Genomic DNA, 22,335 nt, shown 5'->3' with positions numbered 1-22,335 from the left:
CTTGATGACTCTGTCCGATGCAGAGTTGACTACTCTCTCTTTTTAGAGGGGTTAGTGTTACTCCTCTTTAGTATTTCTATTATCACTGTTGTATCATACTGCAATTTTTTGTTTTCATGCCTATCTCTGTTTTATGTCCCTAATGATAAGAAATTTAACTTTACTTTCTCGGTATTCGTAGATCCAACCTTAGGTACCTAATAAATTTCTGCTGAATGAATGAGTGAACGAAAGATAAACTTGCAAATATATATTTCTATATTGGATCTTTCTGCCAGGTGTCAAACCCATGGACAGTGAATATTGTCTAAGACAATAGAATATTGACTAAGAGCTTTGGGTTAAGAGCTGTGTTTGAATCTTCGTCCTACATACAGACGGCTTTGAATTTTGGAGAGATTAAATGAAATAATGTATATAAGATTAGCAAACATAGCAAACACCATGAGTAAATGCTAATTGTTATATATGTCCAACTGCCTACTAGACAATTCCCTTTGGATATCTTGTAGGAGTCTGAAATTTATACTATTAAACCAAAGTTACCATTTTCCTAAAATTGAATTATTTTCTTTTGGTTAGCAAAACTAGTTTATCCACTCACTGAAACTGATAGAATTTCCAAGTCAAAGAATATAGAGTTTTAAATGGCTTTAAATGACCAGCTTTTCAAATTATTGTGTAGAAGTGTAGCCCAGTAGAGCGTAAGAGTGACCATTTTCCCACACCTCCCGCCAACAGGAGATATTAAGAGCTTTTGAATATACACTGCACAGGCAAACAATGGGTTTGATCTGTTGACCATTTGTATTCTTTTATGAGTTGCCTATTATGTTTATATGCCTGTTATGAGGTGTTTTCATATTTATTTGTGAGGGTACACATACTTGTGATATTGAAGTACCACACTGTGTTGTAATCATTGGCTTAAACCTCTCTTCTAACAGAGTGCAAGCTCTTTAAAGGCTCATTCACACTGCTTTCCCAGCACCTCACCTAATTTCTTGTTCTTCGCACATCACTTAATGCATGTTTGTTGAATTGAAACTTCAGTGTACAGGAGATTGAATCCCGGAGGATTTAGATTTGTAGTATTTGAATTATTATTGTTCTATTGGGGATTTTTATTGGGGGAGCCAGGCTTCTGTTACATCAGACATTCACAGGTCATTGAATTTCAGTAGCAGTTCTCATGAATACAAGAATAGGTTGAACAACACCAGGTTATGTTGTAATTTAGTAGTTGCTGTTCATCTAGTGTTATCTGCAGTTGTCTGGGCATTATGGCCTACCTGCTTAGCATCATAACTTAGTAAACTTATATGTATGAAAATGGAATAGTTACCCTCTGAGTATCTAGTAACAAATCTTTGAATTGAATGTCACATGTAAGGTTGTTTATGCTAAGTCTTGTTGAGAAGATAGGAATCGATAGTCTTTTCTGTTTGCCATAATGACATTGAACTTTGAAGAGAGAATTTCTACTGTGTTACACTCCACCATCAAAAATGCATAACTGCGTCAGTCAACCCTGAAAAAGTTTATACGGACAACTTTTGGGATATTAGCAATCAGTGACTAACGGTAGTAGAGAAAAGAAAAAACTGTAAAAAGAATCACATTACCCTAATTTATTGCTTTTCGGGGGTTAGGGAGAGAATTGCTGAAGGATGGGGGAGAGCTAGGGCTTAGATGATATACACTCTTTCTTGTATATATTTTCTTTCACAGCTACATTGCTCCGTTTCTGTGACTCAGCTCATGTTATAATATGATTGATAGCCTTTGTTTGGGGCTTCTGTTTAAAACAACATGGACCTGGCTTTTTCCCCCCTTCTTTTTAATTTGGAATTTTTTTAACAGCACATTTGCTCAGATGATTTAAACCAGGGATTGTCAAGGCAGACTACTGTCCAAGGGCTAAATCAACTCTTCACCTGTTTTATGAATACAGTTTTACTGGAACACAGCTATGTTCATTCATTTATATATCATCTGTAGCAGCTTTGGGGCTATATGGACAGAGTTGAGTGGTTGCCGTAGAGACTGTGTGGCTTACAAAGCCTAAAATAATTAATGCCTGGCTCTTGACAGAAAAAGTTTGCCAATCTCTGATTTAGACTTAGTAAAATTAAAAAGTAGAACAAAAAGTTATGAACTCCAGTTAAGTGAGTTTGCATAGATAAAAAGAGTACTGTAATGTTTCTAAAGTTTGTATTTAAAAGGTTACTTTGTTTTATCTTGAGATTATGTTGAATTGTTCCTTTTCTTGGGGCCCCTTCAGCAGCAGCCTGAGTGATAGTGACACCTTGGCCAGCCAATCTCCAAGCTACGTGTGGCAGCTTCTTGTCTAACAGCAGACCTCTGTGCTGTGTGTGTCTGAATCCCGGTGGCTAGGTAAAGAGAGTGAGCAGGTAGACCAGTGTTCTCTAAATATGGAGACAAACAAAAGGAATAAAAATGTTGTATTATACACAGTGATAAAATGTGGTTTTAAAAGAAGGTTAGAGGAGAAGTGGAAAAGGCATGAGTTTTTTTCCCCTTTATCTTTTTTTTTTTTTTTTTTTTTTTTTTTCCTGAGACGGAGTCTCACTCAGCCGCTCATGCTGGAGTGCAGGGGCGCGATCTCGGCTCACTGCAACCTCCGCATCCCCGGTTCCAGCGATTCTCCTGCCTCAGCCTCCCGAGTAGCTGGGATTACAAGTGTGGTCCACCCCGCCCGGCTAACTTTTGTATTTTTTTTTTTTTCAGTAGAGGTGGGGTTTCACCATGTTGGCCAGGCTTGTCTTGAACTCCTGATCTCAGGTGATCCACCTGCCCTGGACTCCCAAAGTGCTGGGATTACAGGAGTGAGCCACAGTGCCCAGCCTTTTTCCCCTTTATCTAAGCAGTGGTGCTTGAGATACTAAATTCTACCTGACATACATTCTTTTTTTTTGAGACAGGGTCTTGCTCTATTGCCCAGGCTGGAGTGCAGTGGTGCCATCTGGGCCCACTGCAGCCTCTACCTCCTGGGTTCAAGCGGTTCTCCTGCCTCAGCCTCCTGAGTAGCTGGGATGACGGCGCCCGCCAGCACACTCGGCTAATTTTTTTTAGTAGAGATGGGGTTTCACCAAGTTGGCCAGGATGGTCTTGAACTACTGGCCTCAAGCGATCCGCCCACCTCGGCCTCCCAAAGTGCTGGGATTACAGGCGTGAGCAACCGTGCCCGGCTCTGATACGCATTCTTGAATGTAAATATTGACACATTTTAACAATAATTTGTTGGTGATATTTGATAGTATCTTGCTGCATTTTCTTTAGTGCAAAGCATTTACTAAGAATTACTATTAGCATGATAGAAGGTCATTGTAGGGTGGAGAAAAACTTGACTATATAATGGCTATTATTTTAATAATTCAAACCTATGAATTATGAATTACTTTAGATGTGGAACAAATTTGTTTTATGAAAAATAATATTACCTAGAGAAATATATGTCATCATCAGTTTTCGATATGTTTTTATCATCTACACTTTGTTTTCTGCAATGGTTTTTGGTGGTAGGCTGGTAATAGTGAACTTTCATGATCCATCAGTTAATGTAGTAAAAATCAGGAGTCCATTCTTGACTTCTTTATGTGTTAGAGAGGTCATTGTTAATATAAACAAGTTCACATAAAAGCTGTAATGTGCCAGGAAATTGTGTTCTTCTTGTATACAGTCTTGTGCCACATAGTGATATTTCGGTCAGTCATGGACTGCGTATAGATAGATGATGGAGTCAGGATTATAATGCTGTATTTTTACTGTACTTTTTCTATGTTTATCTATATTTAGATACACAAATACTTACCATTGTGTTACTGTTGTCTACATTATTCAGTACAGTAACAGGCTATATAGGTTTGTAGCCTAGGAGCAGTAGACTATACCATGTAGCCTAAGTATGGAGTAGACTATACAATTATGTAGGTTTGTGTAAGTACACTCTGTCATGGTCTATACGACAAAGTTGCCTGACTCATTTCTTAGAATGTATCCTCATTTTTAAGCAGCACATGACTGTACTTAGAGTATTTATGTTTCAGGAAGGAATTTCTAAAATTGCCAAGATCAATTATTATATTCTAGTTTTAGTGGTTTTGAAAATATTTGGCAATAATTAGTTTAGTTTCCACATTAATATTAAGTTACATAAAAAATTTTAAAAAGATCTTCAAAGATAAAAATTAAATTATTTAATGCTAATTTTGAAGATCTTTGTATTATATTTTTTCTGCCATAAAAATAAACTCATATAACAGTTGTTTAATATTGAAGATTTTCAAGTGTGTATCTGCTTTGGTATAATGTATATTTTCTAATTTACTTAGATCTGTTTTTTTAAAAAAATTTTTGGTAGAATTTGCTTTTATAACTGCTTTATAATTCACATTAAAATTATTTGAAGTATTAAAACAAGATATTACTTTTACATCTTAAATAATATCTTAACTATTTGAATATTTTTACTCTAAATTTTTTACACTTGTTTCCTCATTTTGATTATTTTAATTTATTAAAAATTAAACCTACTGTTTTATAATGTTTGAAAATCATATTCAAGCTATTGAAAGTGTCGTGATTTATCAGGAACAATAATTATGTTTTCATTTTGCTTTCATTTGAACCTCCTGAGTATAAAGAATATTAATGAAGTAAGAGTAGATTAGAGTAAGAGTCAGAAATAGATGAAAAGCATTCCTTGAGTGCTTTTTCAAACCTTTTTTCTGTCATTGAGCTTTGATATTGAGATTTTAAAATGATTTCCTGGCCAGTTAGAAATCTGTACCAGTTGGTGTCAGGTGAGGCTGAGAAACAAGTTTGATAGCGGGAATAGTGTAAATTTCCTGAGCCCTTTGTTGTCTTGCTTTTCCCTGTCTTGGATGTTGCTTTCTGTGAAGCTGGTTGAACTGGTGAATATGCTGTGTGTAGAAGAAGCTGATATATTTAAGATACCACAGAAGAACTAACAAACTGCAGCACTGTATCTGATTCTTGTTCACTTTTATGTAGCATAGTGTTCTCTAGCTCTTTTCTTTTTATTGTTCAGAAAGACCGAATTATTTAAGTGTTAACTTGTTTTCTGTTTAAGCTTTTTTGCTGATTCTGTGCTTAGTCATAGATAGTAATGTCTCTTTATGTTGTTTTCAGTCCTATCAGCTAGGAACTATAATCGGGGATTTATTTTTTCTCAGCTGCAATTTTATTTATATTAGAAGAACTTGAAATGCTGTTTTTGCTGTTCTGGAGAAAAGTAGAAAGGTGTGGTTATTTCTCTTTGGGAGTTGTGTCTAAAATATTATTCTATCCTTTTTATTTTTAGGAATTATAGCCAATACTTTTTTGAATATTGATATTTGCTGAGCACTTTGCTAGGTACTTGCATGGATTATTCCATGTAACCTTCACAACAACTCTATAAAGAAGGTATTATTGTTATTATTTCCATTTCATAAATGAGTAAACAAAAGCTTAACAGGGACCTTAGCTCACAGAACCAGCATGCATTGGAATGAGGATGTGGAGTTATTTAGAGGTGGATGGAAGGATCCTTGGCTTGAATTTTCGTTTTCTGAGCTTTGCAAGGATGTTGTAAATGGGCCTTGGGGATCTTGGCCCATTTCTTCGTCTTTCAGATTTTGGTGAATTTTTATAAATCTATATCCTGTTTATACATTGTTGCTACTGGTTTTGTCTGAGAAAAGTTTCCAGATAAGGACTGATTTTGAGACTTTCAATACATACTTATGCCAGGGAAGGAAACAACCACGAGGCAGTGGTGAGTATTCTCAGCGTAAATACTGGTGTTGAAGCTGTGTATTGAATACCCTCTTCCTCCGTCCTTGCCACATTACTTTGGCATTTGTCAGTAGTGAGGGCAACAATAAAGTAAATACTGTAATGCTTAATCATTTCCCTGCTCACAAATGGGCTCCTATCAAAAATTCCATCCTGAGAGGGGGCATTTTATAGCACTATTAACTCCTTCCTAAAGACGTAGTGGGAAATGGATGAATCAATTACAAAATAACTTCAGATTCAGAATTTTCACCAGTTCTTCACTTTGAATTTGAACACTTGGATTCTTTATTTCAAACTTGGAAATGGTAGATTAAATGGAGGGAGGATTGGGTTTTCTGATATACTGCGTTATTGCAGTTATTTAAATTAAACTGTAACAAATTGTTTTTTCTTTTCTTTTAAAAAATTATTTACTTATTTATTTAGTAACAAATCTTTAATGTCCTTCATTTCATTCAGCATTCATAACCCTGAGACTTAGTTCTGTTGGCGCTTTGGTATGTCTTTGGTACTTTAACCTTGAGAAATGTTATCAAAGAAATGCTTCCCTCCCTTCCCCCTCCCACTCTGTCTCCCTCCTCCCCTACCCCTTCTGTCTCTCCCTTTCCTTGTCCTCCTACTTATAAAATTTAAGCATAGAGAAAATCTTCCCTCTGGCCCAGTTAAGCACCATAAGCACCTAATAATACCGCATCTGCTCTCAAGGTTGTAAATGTAGTGTTTCTAAATGAGGTGACGTTTACTAAAAAGTATATTTAACCTGCCTCTGAGGTTTTATCTTTTTAAAATTCATTTTGCCTTCCAAAAGGGTGTGTTATTTTTTGGAATTTACAGGGCAGCTATAAAACAGAATGCACAGTATGCTCTACACAGCTCGTTTCCTGTTTCTTCCTGGTCTCACTGCCCTGGTCTCTCTTTTCCTTTATCCTTCTAGTTCACTGATCTCCTACTTGCTACTCTTTGATTATCCTAGCTAGGGGTTTGAGATTTCTTTTTTTTTTTTTTGAGACAGAGTCTCGCTCTATTGCCCAGGCTGGAGTGCAATGGTGCGATCTTGGCTCACTGCAACCTCCGCCTCCCGGGTTCAAGTGATTCTCCTGCCTGAGCCTCTCGAGTAGCTGGGATTACAGGCACCCGCCACCACGTCTGGCTAATTTTTGTACTTTTAGTAGAGATGAGGTTTCACCAGGTTGGCCAGGCTGGTCTCGAACTCCTGACGTCAGGTGATCCACCCACCTCGGCCTCCCAAAGTGCTGGGATTACAGGCGTGAGCCTCCGTGCCTGGCCGGGGTTTGAGATTTCTTAGTCACTCCATTGTTTTATGTTTTATAAACCACGCCAACAAGATTATTTCATTAATCTCATCTTACTTTCCTAGACTAGATTCTTCAGTGGACTTTTCCAGAACTCCGTTGTTCACTCTTCTGAAAAATAACTTGATGTTCTGTCCTGTCATCTTTATTCTGTTCATACTCCACTTATTTTGGGCTTTTTTTTTTTCTTTCTCTCCTGCAAGAAGTCAAGACACCTCATGATATGGTGAAACGATCATAGGCTCTAAGGCTCTTGGGTTCTGGTGTTAGGAGTGTCACAGCCTCAGCTTATGAGACGTTTAAAAATGACTGCTATGGCCCAGGCACTATGCAAGCTGCGGGGATGGAAAGATGCCTAAGACCTGTCTCTCCCTTCAGAATGTAGTCATTTCCTCATAAGAAAATGAAGCCACTGGACTCTGAATGTATCATCTGGCTGTGCAGTTCTGCCATTCTGGAGCACTCATTTATTTAGTCCTATAGAGAGAGAGAGAGAGTGTGTGTGTGTCTATGCGTATGTGTGTGTTTTTAATTTGCTTAATAATGGATCTTTTTGATTGAATTAATCCATAGACTCGTAGGATTTACAAATAAGAAGACGTTTAAAGTTAATATGATTTAATCATCTGTTTTACAGGTGAGGTAACAGGCCTTGGCAGTAAAGTGACTGCCCTCCTGTCACACAATTAGTGGCAAAGCTGGGAAAGAACCCAGATCTTCGATTTCTAATTCAGCACTTTTCTGTCCAAGTTGACCGTTTAAAAATTTCTTGATTCTAAGACTTTTGCCTGAGCTATGATTCCTGGTTTCATACAGAAATCTGGAAGTATCCCACTGGTATTGGTAATGATCGCTGTAGCGTTTTGCAGGTTAAGTCACTGACTATCAGTCAGATGCCTCCTACATACTGGTCTGGTTTTTGCTTTTTGGAGCATATGAAAGAAGTATCTGACATTTTTTTTTTTCTGTCCTTAAGGATTTTGAGAACTTGAGTTGAATTTATGAAAAATTAACCTGACCAGAATTTTCATTTTTCTTTCTTTATTGTTTCTCTTTAGATCTTGTGCACTCTACCTCCCCATTAAAAATATCTTGATTACTTTTTTTTTTTTTTGAGACGGAGTCTCGCTCTGTCGTCCAGGGTGGAGTGCAGTGGCGCGATCTCGGCTCACTGCAAGCTCCGCCTCCCGGATTCACGCCATTCTCCTGCCTCAGCCTCCCGAGTAGCTGGGACTACAGGTGCCCGCCACCGTGCCTGGCGAATTTTTTGTATTTTTAGTAGAGATGGTGTTTCACTGTGTTAGCCAGGATGGTCTCCATCTCCTGAACTTTTCTTATACTACTATTAGGCAAACATTAATTGATCCACAGTTGTGTCCCTGGCATGGGTGTTAAGGATGTAGAACCAATTTCAGTTTTCCAGGAATGTGCTGCCCATGGGTTGCAGATTGAATGATGAACCATCCAATGTGCTTTAGTGCGGTGATTCTCAACCAGGCCAATTTTGCCCCCCATGGGACATGAGTCAATGTCTGAAAACATTTGTTGTTGTCACAACTGGGCAGGGTGGGGAAGGATGGGGGTGGTACTGCTGGCATCCTGGTGAACAGAGACCGGAGGTGCTAGTGGAGATCCCACCCCACTACACTGACCCCCGTGACAAGAATGATCTGACTGGAAATGTCAGTAGTGTCAACGTGGAGAAACCTAGGTACAGGGTGTGATAATTGCTATATTCAAAACAACTACCACGTTTTTAGTGTTTTCTGAGCCTGGCTCTGTTCTGTGGTCAAGGTGGACATATATTACTATTGCCCCTAGCTAGGTTTAGGGGTCTGGGAAGGCTGAGTTGCACCCGGAGGTCAGGTAGAAGGAGGAGGGAACAGGCACAGACAGCAGAGGGGGTGGTGTGTGCCACCACTTGGAGGGGACAGTTAGGGACATCTGGGGAAATGCAGGCTGCTCATTATGGTGAAAGCTAGAAGGTGAGGGGGCAAGAAACTCAAGAAGAGGCTATGGAAATTGCACAGTGGAAGCTGGAAAATGGATGGCGTCGTACGACATTCTGAGGCACCTGGTTTTTGTTTAAAGGGTTTAGAGAACCAAAAATGGATTTTAGGTCAGGTAGTTACATGTTTGGGTTTGTCTGTTTTGGAAGAGAACTTCAGTGGTTTCAAGGAGAACTAATTGGAAGGAGGCAACTGGAGATAAGTTAATTAGGAGGCTGTTGCAGCGATTTCATGTAAGAATTGAGCCAGGGAAGTGAAAGTAGGGATGGAAATATAAATAGTTGAATTTCAGAGATATTGGTGAGGTTGATTGTTTCGGACACCAAAGAAGGGAGGAGTTAGGGTCAGGTCATTGATTGTTGACGAGGGCAAACATAGATAAAGCACATGTGCCCCTTCCCCAAAGGGAGGTATGTAAATCTTGTCAGCAGTACCTGCTTCTAGCTTCAAGTCCAGCAAATGAGGGGATGTCTCTCTTTTCCGTCAACCTATGGTCTGAAAGTTAAGCCAGCCATTGCAACACATTGGCACACAACGGGGGAGAGAAGACAGGGTTGCTGCAATAACATCTTATAAAAAGGAGGAGAGAATGGACATATTCCATAGATGCTGTGTTCCATCCCATTGAATGAGAATTGCAAGACCTCCTGCACACTAGCTGTGGCGTGAACTCCCGAGTTGGCCCGGTTGGCTGCTTTTGGTTTTGTTCTCTGAGAAGATCTCCCTTGTCCATTGTCCTTTGTGGCTCATCTAGGATGGGTGTATACGTCATATTTCAGCTCAGATGTCATCTCCTCAGGCAGCTTTTCTCTGGCGTCCGAGTAGAAAGTAGGCATCCAGTTTTTAATCGCCTTGCTGGAGCTAGGGATAGGGCATGTGTTAGTTATCTGCAGCATTCGCTTCATTTACGTGTTGTGCTTTTTGTGCCCCCTTATGCTGGAATGTAAGGTCAGGAGGGTGGGAGGGGCCTTGGCTGATGTGTTCACTCTGAATCTCTAATACCTGGAATGGTATCTGGCTCAGGATGTTTTTTGAAAGAAAGAGGAAATGAATGAACGAGGAGAATAAAATGCTGAAGGAGGAACCGGTTTTTAAATTTTTTTGTTTGTGTTTTGGTGGGGAAGAGGACATTGAATTCAGTTTTGGATATGAGTTTTAGAAATATTGATATTAAATATAGACAGGAACATAGGCTTGTCAATAGGCCATTAAACATACAATAGGTACAGATGTCCAATTGGCCATTAAACATGCAGAGTGAAGCTCAGGGAAATTACAGTAAAGATAGCTAACATGTACTGAGCTTTGCCATGTGCCAGTCTCTGTTCTTAGCACTTTACTGATCTTAGTAAAGTGGAGCTATCAATTTATGGAAGCAGAAGATGAAGCTATTGATTGGTAATACCCAGAGGGGGTGCATGATAATTAAATAGGGACAGAATCCAGAGGCACAGCAGCATCTGAGAGGTGAGTCAAGAAAGAGGCACAAGATCCTAGGGAACACTGGCATTTAAGGGATGAGTGAAGAAAGTGGCCCCTCTTAGAAGAAGCAACTAGAGAGCAGGAGGGTTGGGGTGAGGGAAATCTGGGAGAGTGTGGTGTCTCTGAATCCAAGGAAGCGGTTCAGGGAGGAGGGATTCCTGGATGTCTCAGAGATCTGAAAAGTGGCCGTGGTCTTCCAGATCAAATAAATGATGTTGGGAAGAGCTGTTTCAGGAAAACCTTGGGAAAGGAAAGAGGTTGAGGGTTTGAGAATTTCGGGATGCTGTCAGGAAGGAGCTAGTAGAGAGGGAGAGTTTGGAAATGCAGTGGAGGGAGAATATTGATGCTGCCTGACTTCTGGGGAGGTAGGAGTTGATTGCAACTGAAGCGTTTGATAGGAGCACGTTCTCAGACGTAGATTTTAGTTTTTTTTTTTTTTCTTTTTTTTCCTGTAGAACCTTCTGATTTCCTTGTTCTGTAATTTTCCAATGGATCAAGAGGCGATTGAACTGTACATGCTGCACATTGCTTCCCTGGTTCATTGCCAGTGAAAGAGCTGGGGACAGTAGGGTCTTGTCAGCTGCAGCCACTGACTCAGCAGCCATCAGCAGCAAGGACAGAGGTTCTGCTGCATTCCTTACTTTACCTTCTTTCACTGGCATCAGCTGTTAGTTTTGTTTTTCCAGGTTACCTTGGCTTCCCATGGGGTTGCATTTTCACTAATTTCCCCTAAGCCTAAAATTCTGGTGGCACAAAAGCCATCTTTCACAAGTAGTCAGGCTGTCAGTAGTTGAGATGGCTCAGTAATGTCTGCAACCACACATTTAATAAAGAAAACCTAAATTACATCTGCATGTTACGAAATTGAAACTGCATCAACTTTTGTTTTTTCTAGTGACAGGAATTGGCTTTCTGATTGCGAAAACAAAGCTAGTGTTTTTGGAATGTGCTTTCCAAATAGAAAGTGTGTCTTAGTTTCCTGATAGGTGGATTCTGAAACTTTTTATCTAGCTTTAGATTTTATGAATTTGTATCTAGCTTAAACATGCTCATAGATAATGGAGCCAGGTAATATAGACTAAGTACTTAAAAACAAGTACTCTTCTCTTTGTCACATTTGAAAGAAAATATATTTTATGAAAATAATTTAAAAAATAAACTGACTTGGTTATTTGAGAATAGTTTCTCATAATTGTTATTATATACTCTGAAGCCTAAGATGTTATCTCATTTGATAATCTGCTTAAAAAATATGAATGAATTATGATAGCATTGGAAAAATTTACAGAAATAGTTTTCTGTAGGTTTTTGTTTTATAACTAGCCTCCTCCATCAAAGCTAATAGTTATGCTTTCAGTGAAGTGAAGAGTAGTCAGCAAAGTATCTTGACTAGACATTTGATTCTTGCTGAAGCAAAACTGGCTTGCAAATCTGGGAAAGGCTAGGTAGGGAAGTTGGATGGTTTAGGAGGAGAGGCATATTTGTACAGTCTCCTGTAAGGTAGTAAAATTTGGAACTCAGATTTTCAGTAACTCCATAGAGTTACATGACTGATACAGAAGCACATAGCTCCCTCAGTGATTCAGCCTGTTGGCATTTCTTAGCTTTTTGTTATCAAGACTTCTTTACGCTCTTAAAATTTATCAAGGACCCCAAGAAACTTAATATTAGCCATGTTACAAATTAAAAGTGATAAAATTAAAAATATAAATTCATGAAAAATACCAAAAATAAATTCATTATAAAGAGCATATATTTATGAAAAATAATATTTTACAAAATCATGAAAAAATATCATTGCTGTGCATTTTTGTCAATCTCATTAACATCTGGCTTGATTAAAGACAGCTAGATTCACAAATGTGCTTCTGCATTCAGTCTGTCATTTGGAATATTTCACTGTAAGTCATGAGAGAATGAGAGTAAAAAAGACAACTTATATTTTAGTAGTATTAAGAAAACATTTTTGAACTCCTGAACTCCTGAGAGGATTTCAGGGACCTCTTGGCAGGAGTTGGGTGGGAGGGGGTCCCTGGACTACACTTTGAGAACCACTGGATGAAACTATATGTATTTCTTGATGACCATTCCCTTGGTTTCCTTTCTTCTGCCCCTTGGGGCCTGGTAAAATATTCTTTATGTTGACTCCTCAAATGTGTTTACTGATTTAAATTTCCTCTATAAAATTCCAGGGGAAGGAACCATCAAGTGAGTCAGGCCTTCACTTCCTTTTCACGAAGCCTTTCCCCTTAATTAGTCATGCTGTAAGAATCCATCTCACTCCTTTGACTCAGCCGCCATAGAGGTGCCACCAGACGCTTTTTACTATGCTTGATGACATTGTAGACTGGTTACAAATCAAGATAAGTTGTTTAGGAAAAAAATACTCCCTTTTCAGTACAAAGAATTCTAGGAAGTCTTGGAGGTTGCTGGGAGAAAGAAAGTAGAATTGTTTCCTAGAAACGGAGTGGAAAAGTCTTTGGAGAAGTTTTTGGGGGCCTGGCTGGCACATGGGATCCACTCTGCTCTCCAGGAAGCGTATGCCATCTTCTAGTTCGCATTTCTGCACCAAGGCAGTGGCAGGTGGCCCGAAGAGTGAGTGGGAAGCAATAATCAGCTCTCCAAGTAACAGCATTTTCATTTGCTAAATGTTATGTTAATGTTCTCCAAACTGATGGTAGAATTATACAAACTTAGGCTGAAAATACGCATACTGTTCATCTTAAGTTTTCAGACTTCTGATAAAATGTAGGTAAATAATATCAAAAAGTATCTTAAAAATTACACAGTAAATTTTGTATAGAACAAATATGTGTACAACTTACAACATTTACATTGGAACAATTAGCTACATCAGAAAAATGCCTGCATGAATATAGTAGCATAAAAACAGTTGCTTTTGCATTTAACTTGCAAAGAAATGGAAGCAACAGCATTTTAAAAAGAGCATGGGTTTATGTGCTTTATCTGGATGAGTAGTGGCATTTTCTAACTGCTTGCCTCTTGGGCACATAAGTCATCATGGTACATTCTTACTAATAGACTTTGAACTTCTTTCTCTGTCCTTTTCTTCTGGGCCGTATATTGCCGCCTTTAGCGCTTCAGCATGGAAGGGATCTCAAATGTCATTCAGAATGGCCTCCGCCACACCTTTGGAAATTCAGGTGGAGAGAAACAGGTGCTCGGTTATCCTTATTTTCCTCATTCTCTGCTTTTTCATTTTCTGTGTAAGTGAAGATCCTGAAAGCTGGTAGTTTACTAATTTACTAAGACCATTGCTTAACGAGAGAAATAAAAGTTTATTATAAAAGTTCATTATATTTATAGTCTTGATAATGAACAGAATTTCCCTTTGAGGAAAAAGCATTTTTCAAATTCGACAATAGATTAAATGCATTCTTAAGACGTGTTTTATAGCTCCATTTTTCACTCTTAGTTTTAAACAAATATTAACATTTTAACATAATGTATTGCATGTGTAGAAAATCTGCTTGTGAAAATAACTAAACTAAAATATGTGACTCTAATTCTAAAAGTCTAAGTCGCAAGATGTCATTTTTGGGGGAAGAAGGCCAGATGTCGGTATGTTTGAGACTAGAGTTCTAGGTCAAAAATATGTATAGAGTGTATCTTACCTCCTTTAAATGAAATTCATGTGTTTTTAAGGTGTATTGCATAGTCAGCCAACTCAGTTGTCTGCCAAACGAGGCATGCGACATTATTTATACAAAATTATACACAGATATGAATATATAATCAAGTATCTAGCAATTTGCTTTTTATTCACATTTTTGTATAATGATTGAAGGAATATCATGAACATGGGAAACATTCACATTAATGGGTATGCTTAAAATTACCTTTCACTATATGAAATTTTCACCTTGAAAAAGAAAAGTCTTTAAGTTAGCTCTTCTGTGCAGATTAAGAAGGTGTACAAAATGTAGCTTGTAGGAAGTTTAGCAAAAGAACGCCTAGATCAAATGCCTGGAGTTTTTACTGCAGGTAGTTAAGTGTTTCTCCGGAAGGGAGATCATTCCTATTAAAGAGGGAAGCCTCACACTGACATTTGCAGCTCATCAATGAGCTCCATGAAGGGATGTTTGAGTTTTTGTTTTCATTCCGTTGCCTCTCACCTCTCTCAACCTCAAAAGAAGACAAGGAATCTTCCAGACTGTCAGTGGAGCAGGGAGGCCTGAAGATGCAGCCAGGTAGCCAGAGAGCGGGCCAGGGTGCAGCCGCCTGGTGCCTCTCCAGGTTGCCTCACACATGCAGAGTGAAGCCAGGAGGACATCATTTCTGGCCTTTTGTTGTTGTTGTTCTTTACAAAGAAACATTCGATTATACAATTGGGCATCACCTGCAAGAAGTCTACGTCAAAAAGACGGTGGGACACTTAACGTGTCTCAGAGATTGAACTATGCAGTTTTACCACTTTTCTGGACTTAGGGATCCAGTTACTGTAAAGCAGCTTTCTTTATCCTGTTTTTCAGTTATGGGCAGGATAAGATCACTCAGTGAGGATTAGCCACAGAGCTGAGATTTAGGGCACGAGGTTAAATAATGGGTGGAGCTAAGAGATTCCAGGTAAAAACCACTGGCTTTCTATATGAGCATATGTGAAATGCACGGAACTATTTTTTTGGTGGGATGGTAAGAACAGGAAAATCTGGACAATCATTTATGGATTATGCTTTCATGGGATTAGTTAAAAGACATGGCGCTGTTACTTGTGAGCCTTTACAAGTAGTGAACTAGGAAGTTTATCTCAATTTCAGACATTAATTTTCATTATTCATTTCCCCTTAGGCCATTCTCTACTTTAACTTTTCTCCTTTAATGCCTAAAAACGTTTACAATGACTTACCCAATAATTTAAAATAATAGTAACGCATTTCTAAAACGATTTAAGTGTGTCTTTGTTAGCTTCTGAAAGAAGCTAGTGTGTGTTTTTCAAAGTTGTCATGTTATATATGTGGACCATTTGTTCAACCAGAATAAAAATGGTCTGAAACAGAATTATTTTGCTGTTGGAAATTACTTTATTGTGCAGAACTGTTAAAACTATGTTTTTAGTTTAAATTGCTATTTTTAAAATGTGTTGAAAAATATGCAAGTAGAATGTGAGATAATACTTCACTTTAAAAATGAACAAATTGAGTAAACCATCCTCAGACTTAGTCCTATGAAATTTTCAATAACTGAAATGCAAAAAGGTGGTTGTTTCTGTTGACATTAGGTTTGTATGAAGCAAATAGAGGTGGGCAAAAAAAAATGAGCTCCATCTGAGATAGTAAGATAACTTTATTCCCATACAATACCTGTGTTTTCATTACCAAAGTAGCTTGTGTTTTATATTATCAGATAGACCTTCTAGTAACAGTATCAAATTTTTTGCAGATAAGGTAATTCCGATTTAAGTGACACTTTTTTTTTTTAAACTTGGCAGTATTTGACTACAGTCATTCCTTATGAGAAAAAAAACGGACCACCGTCTGTTGAAGATCTTCAAATATTAACAAAAAGTGAGCAAAGACAAAATGAAACTATTACCTGATTTCCTTTTGCTGATTGGTAAACACCTGACTTTAGTTGGCTGATTTTGTTGTTAGTGTTTTGTCAGTTTAGGATGTAAATGATGCATATAATTGTTTATTTTTATAAGAATGAAGCCAAAAATGGCTGTGACATTAAATACAACAGTAACTCTAGTGTTGATTTGTACTTTTTCTGTTTTTCTTACCTTGTGAAATATTTATGAGCTAAAATTTTGGGAAAAAGCATAACCTAAATCTCCATCATCTCTTACATGTTTAAGAACATATCCATTTATCATAAATAAAATTCCTTATGGATCTTATATATCTATGATTGTCAGTAACTGAATAGGAAAGATTTACGGTAAACACTTTTTATTTCTTATGAATGTAGAACCCGAGGTAGTAGTTATAGGTAGAACATAAATTGACAGTGATGTTTTAAGAACATGCATTCATTCAGCAAATATTTAGTGAAGGCCTACTCTGTACCAGGCCATGATCTGGGCACTTGGGATACTTTAGTGAACAAAGCAGACAAAGATAATGCACCTTCAAGGGGCTTGCCTTAAAAAAAAAATTGTTAGATTTAAATATACATGATATTGAGTATCTCTTATGATGGCCGCAAATGAGCCTTGAATTCTGGTTCTATCCCTGTTATTTTCAGGGATATCCTTGGAAGTTACTTACTCTCTTTTGCTTACATTGAAAAACTAGGATAAAAAATATTTGTTCTATTTACCTCACAGTAAATAGATTAATATATGTATGATTTTGGCTAAGTTACTATCAATTAGCCGTTAAAATGGAGGGATTGAATTTGCTGATCTGTTAGGTCTTTGTTATGGTAAATATTTATGATACTTGCTAATTAGGGGGGAACCAAATGAAAGAGCATCACATGGATGAGTATGGATGATGATACTTATTTTGGAAATTTAAGAGGAATGGGCAAGGAAAACCTAAGAGTAGAAGCAAGTGTCTTATTTCTTAGCTCCCTGCCTGCTAACTTGGAGCTTTTATTCTTTCCTTTGGTGAATAATTCTTTAAAAATTTTATATTTAAATATGGATAAATCAAGTGATGCCAGCCAGTCTGAAATAAAAAATCAAGAGATTAACTGGGTAGCTAGCCCTCTTATTTTCAGGAAGAACTTAAGTTATATGTGTCCAAGATCACACAGGGGGATGGTTAGTTACAGAGCTGGATCTCTTAATTCCCAGGCAATTATACTTTTAATGATGCTGGTTTTTGGTATGTGATTTTATTTAGAAGTTAGAAAAAATTTTAAACATGATTGGAAGCAGAAATACTGAACATGGTAGCCCTCTAAAGAAGGGAACATAAATATTGCTCATAAGCCAGGAATTACTGGCAGGCCTCAGCTTCTCAGATCAAGAACAAATACTTCATTGGTCAAACTAAAGTCATCATAATTCCAGCATCGAGATGTCTTTATAGGTTGTCACAGTTTGGAATCTCTGGACATATTTGGGTCCAAAGCTCCTTTTCTTTCCAAAAGAAGAGCCCTGTGGAGACAGTCACAGTGTTTATGGATATATAGTCTTCCTGATAAAAGCTATTAGGGGATTTTGGGTGCAATAATAATAGTTAATAAAAATTTAAATAATTTGAGTAGTGTTAGTTACAGTTAATACATAGCATGTACTATGTGCCAGGCACTATGATATGACCTTTATATCTGAATTAGTAGCTTAGTCCTCATAACAAACCTTTGAGATTAAATCTAATTATTATTCTCATTTCACAGATGAAGAGCTTGGTGCAAAAGTGGTTAAGTAGCTTGCTCAGCGTCACACAATTAGGAAGTGGCAGAGCCAGGGTTTAAACCCAGGAAGGCTGATTTGACAGTTACACTATTTTGCCTTGTCGTATTGGTGGGGAAAAACAGTGAAATATTTTTACCAGGATGCTTTGGAGAAAATTTGAGTTGGCAATCTCTGTTAAAGTATAATATTTGTGAGTTTATCTCAACCTGAATGGTCTAGCTTAAAAAAGAAAAACGTTATACTAGGTGGCTGCTTTTTCTATTTTAGTTTTTACTTAGAAGATAAATTTGTCAAATTAGAATGAGGCTAATTCTCCCAGGTTTCTCCCTAGTGCAGAGGAGGCAACAGCCAGGCAGATGCCCGATGCTGCTTCATGGAAGTCTGTTCTTCATTTGGGTCTTTTCTTTGAAAGTTTCTAAGGAGTCTGACAGGATACGCTTGTTGGAGGGTATAGCTGTCCATTTCTTTAAGAGTTTCTCTAGTTTGCTTGATCTGCAGCACTGAGGTTTTCTTGCTGCACAGAGTTCATTGAGGTGCACATTATAGTAACCCACTTTCCGGTATTATTACAGAGCGAAGGCTCCTTGTAAATAACCCAGTTCCTCTTTTTTTGTCTCCACTGTTTGGAAATTTTAAATCAGGGAAGCAACTCTCAGGTAAGTGGGATATTCTTACCGAAAATAAATTCTTGTGGACTTACTCCACTAAAATAAATTATTGGGCCTTTATTGTTGTATCCCCTTATCAGGAAAATCACCTATAATTTGTATGAGTCAGTTATATCCTATAATTAAGGAAGATTAAGGCCACAATGATTGAAATTAAATAATATTTTTGATCTAAATTTTTAATTGTTGTCTTTTTTCCCCTCTTCTATTTTGCAGTTCTTCGTGCCATGAAGGAGGACAGTGAAAAAGTTCCGAGCTTGTTAACTGATTATATTCTGAAAGGTGAGTTTTATAATGGTATAGGTGCGATGGCTGGGAGGTTTGGATTAGTCAGTAAATACATCGCCTTGCTAATACATTAGACAGTAACTTCCCAATGCACAACTTTCATTAATCTTATTATGCAGGGTGAGGATTAGCTACATGACTGACTTCTACCAACATTATATATCATGGTTTTATATAATTTAAGTTTTATTGGAGGTTCTGGGTTGGAAATAATCTCCACAGTTAAACTATAAACATCAAGAGAGGTAGTAGAAGAAAATTAGTGAGATGGCACCATAATCATGTGGGTATCAGATGTTGGCAGATTGGCACTGGGAAATTTGAGAAGGGTGGTCTCTGTCATCTTGAGGACAGTGGAAAGGAGGACAGATCATTAGTGAGGACGGATGAAGGAAGGAAGAGTCACATCTGTGAACAGTGCCAAAGGGAATACGAAAGGGACTGATGTAAGACACAGGGAGGGAAGCGGGGAAATAAAAAGAATGGACTTGCATAAACCCAGGAAAGTGAAAAAGCAGCCACAAATCTTAGAGGCAAGGTGAGGCTCACACAGGGTGGGAATATTGATGAGGCAAAAGAAGAGTGAGAGGTTGAGTTGCTTTGCCGAGAAAAGAGCAAAGTTTGGATGATAAAGAAGGGACGGAAGAACTTAATTAGAGGCAAAATTAATACTTTACGATGAAATATTTTTTTAAAGTAGCAGGTATTCAGGGACCAGATTTTGAAAGCATCACAAAATGCATCTTTGTAGTGTTTGATCAAATTTTGAGAGCAATCCTCTTCTAGTAACAGTCTTCTTCTCTGGGTTCTCTCTCTTCTCCATTAAAGTTAGCTGAGCACAAGGAAGATGAAGATTTCTGAGACATTAGAAACCTCTGATGGTCTTTTCTTAAACCATAGTGTCATGAAAGGGGAACCTCAGTAGTATACACAGGGTGCTCAAAGTGAATCACACATTTCACTTGTAAGAGTCTTGATGCGGTGAGAGTAAGAAGCATGAGCTAGACACTAGTGGGTTGACACTGGAGTAGAACAGACTGAGTTGACATCATTTTAAAAAATAAGCTTTTTTTCTGATGGAGGACTTTTTCTCCCTATAAAATTCTGAAAAATTTTTTTTTTAATACCTGACATCTTTGTTTGCTTTTGTGTTGTGCTAGCATTGGTATGAAAGCTGGATTGTTCTGAGGTTCGTTCTTCTAGATGTGAAACAGGAATGAGACGAACATAAAGAACATGTCTTAAATTTTAATTATATCGGGTTCCTAGGCCTCTATGAGGGCCAGAGATAGAATGAGCTTCTGAAGCATTCTCTAGCTATTTTAGCATTTAACTGCATGGAAGGATGTTATGACCCAAAGAACAGAGTCCTCTGGGGAAAAATGATTTTTAATTCTTTACTCTGAAAACCTAGGACTATAATTGTGAACCTACCTATACCGCATGCCTTAGGGAAGCAGCACCCATCTAATTCTGCTCCTCATGCTCGGGCCGCTGGCTCCTGTCTGTAAGCCCAGTTCTATCTATACTGTACCTGCTTCTGATGAGCTGTCTGTGTGCATGTGTTGTGGTTTTGTCTTGGCTTTGTATTGTGAGGACTGGGTGGAAAAGCAGCAAGGATTTAGACTACAGTGGAGACTGTAGTCAGAGAAAATGAAGACGGGAGTGCAATGTGGAGATGTATTTACCCAAATGTGTGTGGGAAGGTGGGGAAGTCGGGTCATTGAAAATGCTCTTTTCCACCCATCCTGAAAGTTCACAGCTGGTTAACTGTTCCTCTTCCTTGGGGACCAATAATACGACACTTTGCCCGGGAGGGGGATATTGCTCAAGGGGAGAATACTCCTTCCCCTTTTTTGGGTGGTTTGTTGTTGTTTTAACACAGATGAGAGTGTGGCTTGGCTGCCTAAATACACCACTTAGTTTTAATGCAAATGTCAGAAGTGAAAGAAGGTAGAAAAGTGGTCTCATTTGGCCTGAGAAAAGGGAGTAGGGTGGGCACTGTATGGGCTAATTGAGCTTCTCTTTCTCGCACCTGCCTAATGACCCCACTGCAGCCTGCCGCCACTGCTGCCTTGACAGTAGTACCCAAGGCTGATTCTGAAGTAATGTACGCGTGGCTGCTGCCGTGCTGCTAGTTAGGAATAAAAATGTGTGCAGAAACTTGCACCCTTCTTTGACTTCCCTAGGGATCCTGTTTGTTGTGTCACAAGCCTCATGGTATAGGGCGAATGTTAGGGGCTTCTATCTCCAAGTGGCACCCTAAGAGACATGGCCTTTTGGTATCTCATTTCTGGGAAATTCTAATGTGTGTTGAGAGAACTCATCCTTGTTGGGTATAGCCTCTTAAAACCTTTAAAAAATTGCTACATAGATCTTTGCATTAACATTTAGTTCTCATTACTTAATGGTTTTTAAATGTACATGTAAAATGTATGTTTTGTGTAAATGTATACAAAATATACATTTGTAGCTAAAAGTTCTCTTTTTCTTCTAGTTCTGTGTCCTACATAGAGCAGCAACTTTATCTGCGGTGGGCTCCAAGCTAGATTTCCGACAGCATTATTCTGAGAGCTGGCTACCATTACCCTTCTTGCTATTGGAAACTCAGCACATTTGAACTTGGGTTTGATTCAGTATTAACAGATCTTGACTACACTAATTCTTTATATTATAGAACCAACGGAAATATGGGCACTATTTTGAATTCTAGAGATGGTTTTTGTTAAATCTACTAATAAACTGTTCTCTTAGTAGATTAAGAGAGAGTAATATTAATTGTGCATGTGCAGTTGTATTTCTCATTAACTGACAGTATGCCCATTTGTTTTTATGGCTTTCTTATCTAAACTGCACTGATGAACTAGATTAAAGCCTTGGGAGATTTATACTATAAATTCAGTGATGGCAAGAACCAACACTGTTTTTTTGTGAGAATTGTCAGTGTAACTATTACCTACCAGTATTGTTCAGAGAGATTGAAACAGAATAAACGGGCTGTTCTTGAAGAAGCAAAACCAGAATATGCATTACTTTGGTTTAATACTTAGTGCTAACATTGAAACTGTTGGTGGTGATGGATTTTGTAGCTTGCTGCTTGTTTCACCACTGGTCAAATTTTAACCATTAAATTGCCATTCACTTTTAGAATCTTGTATTTAAGTTTTGATTTTCAAATGTTCTGCTTCATGTGTCTGTGAAGAATTGTACTTTAAGTGTGTGTCCTCTGAGGTGCTTGAGAAAGTGTACACTGCAGAACTGCCCATTCTCATTACTGTGTCCTATTTTATTCATGCCTGTGTGTTTTTCTTAAGTATGAATTCTAGATACAGCTACTTATGGATTCATCAATATCATGAGCACTTTTGCTGGTTCCAGTCAAATCAATGGCATTTAATAAATTTTTTAAGAAGTAAAAA

At 38.0% G+C, this 22,335-nt stretch overlaps 1 protein-coding gene across 3 annotated transcripts in view, besides 1 other annotated feature; it reads left to right on the top strand.

Moving 5' to 3' along the window:
- Nucleotides 1-22,335, top strand: part of FEZ2 (fasciculation and elongation protein zeta 2) — a 45,911-nt gene extending 23,576 nt beyond the window's left edge. The window contains exons 6-9 of one of the 3 annotated variants that reach the window (NM_001042548.2): nt 13,728-13,808; nt 16,080-16,155; nt 18,845-18,910; nt 21,414-22,335. In NM_001042548.2, coding sequence (NP_001036013.1) covers nt 13,728-13,808; nt 16,080-16,155; nt 18,845-18,910; nt 21,414-21,430 — 240 coding nt within the window. In that variant the 3' untranslated portion in view covers nt 21,431-22,335. The remainder of the gene's footprint in view (nt 1-13,727; nt 13,809-16,079; nt 16,156-18,844; nt 18,911-21,413) is intronic. The other 2 variants (NM_005102.3, XR_244972.4) reach the window with 2 other exon arrangements.
- Nucleotides 12,316-13,515: an enhancer, noted in NCBI's record as "P300/CBP strongly-dependent group 1 enhancer chr2:36788221-36789420 (GRCh37/hg19 assembly coordinates)". NCBI's record gives its function as "activates an origin of replication core promoter dependent on BRD2, BRD4, P300/CBP, MED14 and CDK7 cofactors, with strong dependence on P300/CBP, by STARR-seq in HCT116 cells {active_cell/tissue: HCT116}" and the evidence as "EXISTENCE:reporter gene assay evidence [ECO:0000049][PMID:35650434]".

This window comes from Homo sapiens, chromosome 2 (genome assembly GCF_000001405.40).
Source record: "Homo sapiens chromosome 2, GRCh38.p14 Primary Assembly".
Lineage (NCBI taxonomy): Eukaryota > Metazoa > Chordata > Mammalia > Primates > Hominidae > Homo > Homo sapiens.
Note: the sequence above shows the minus strand (reverse complement) of the source record. Positions and strands in the feature narration are given on the sequence as shown.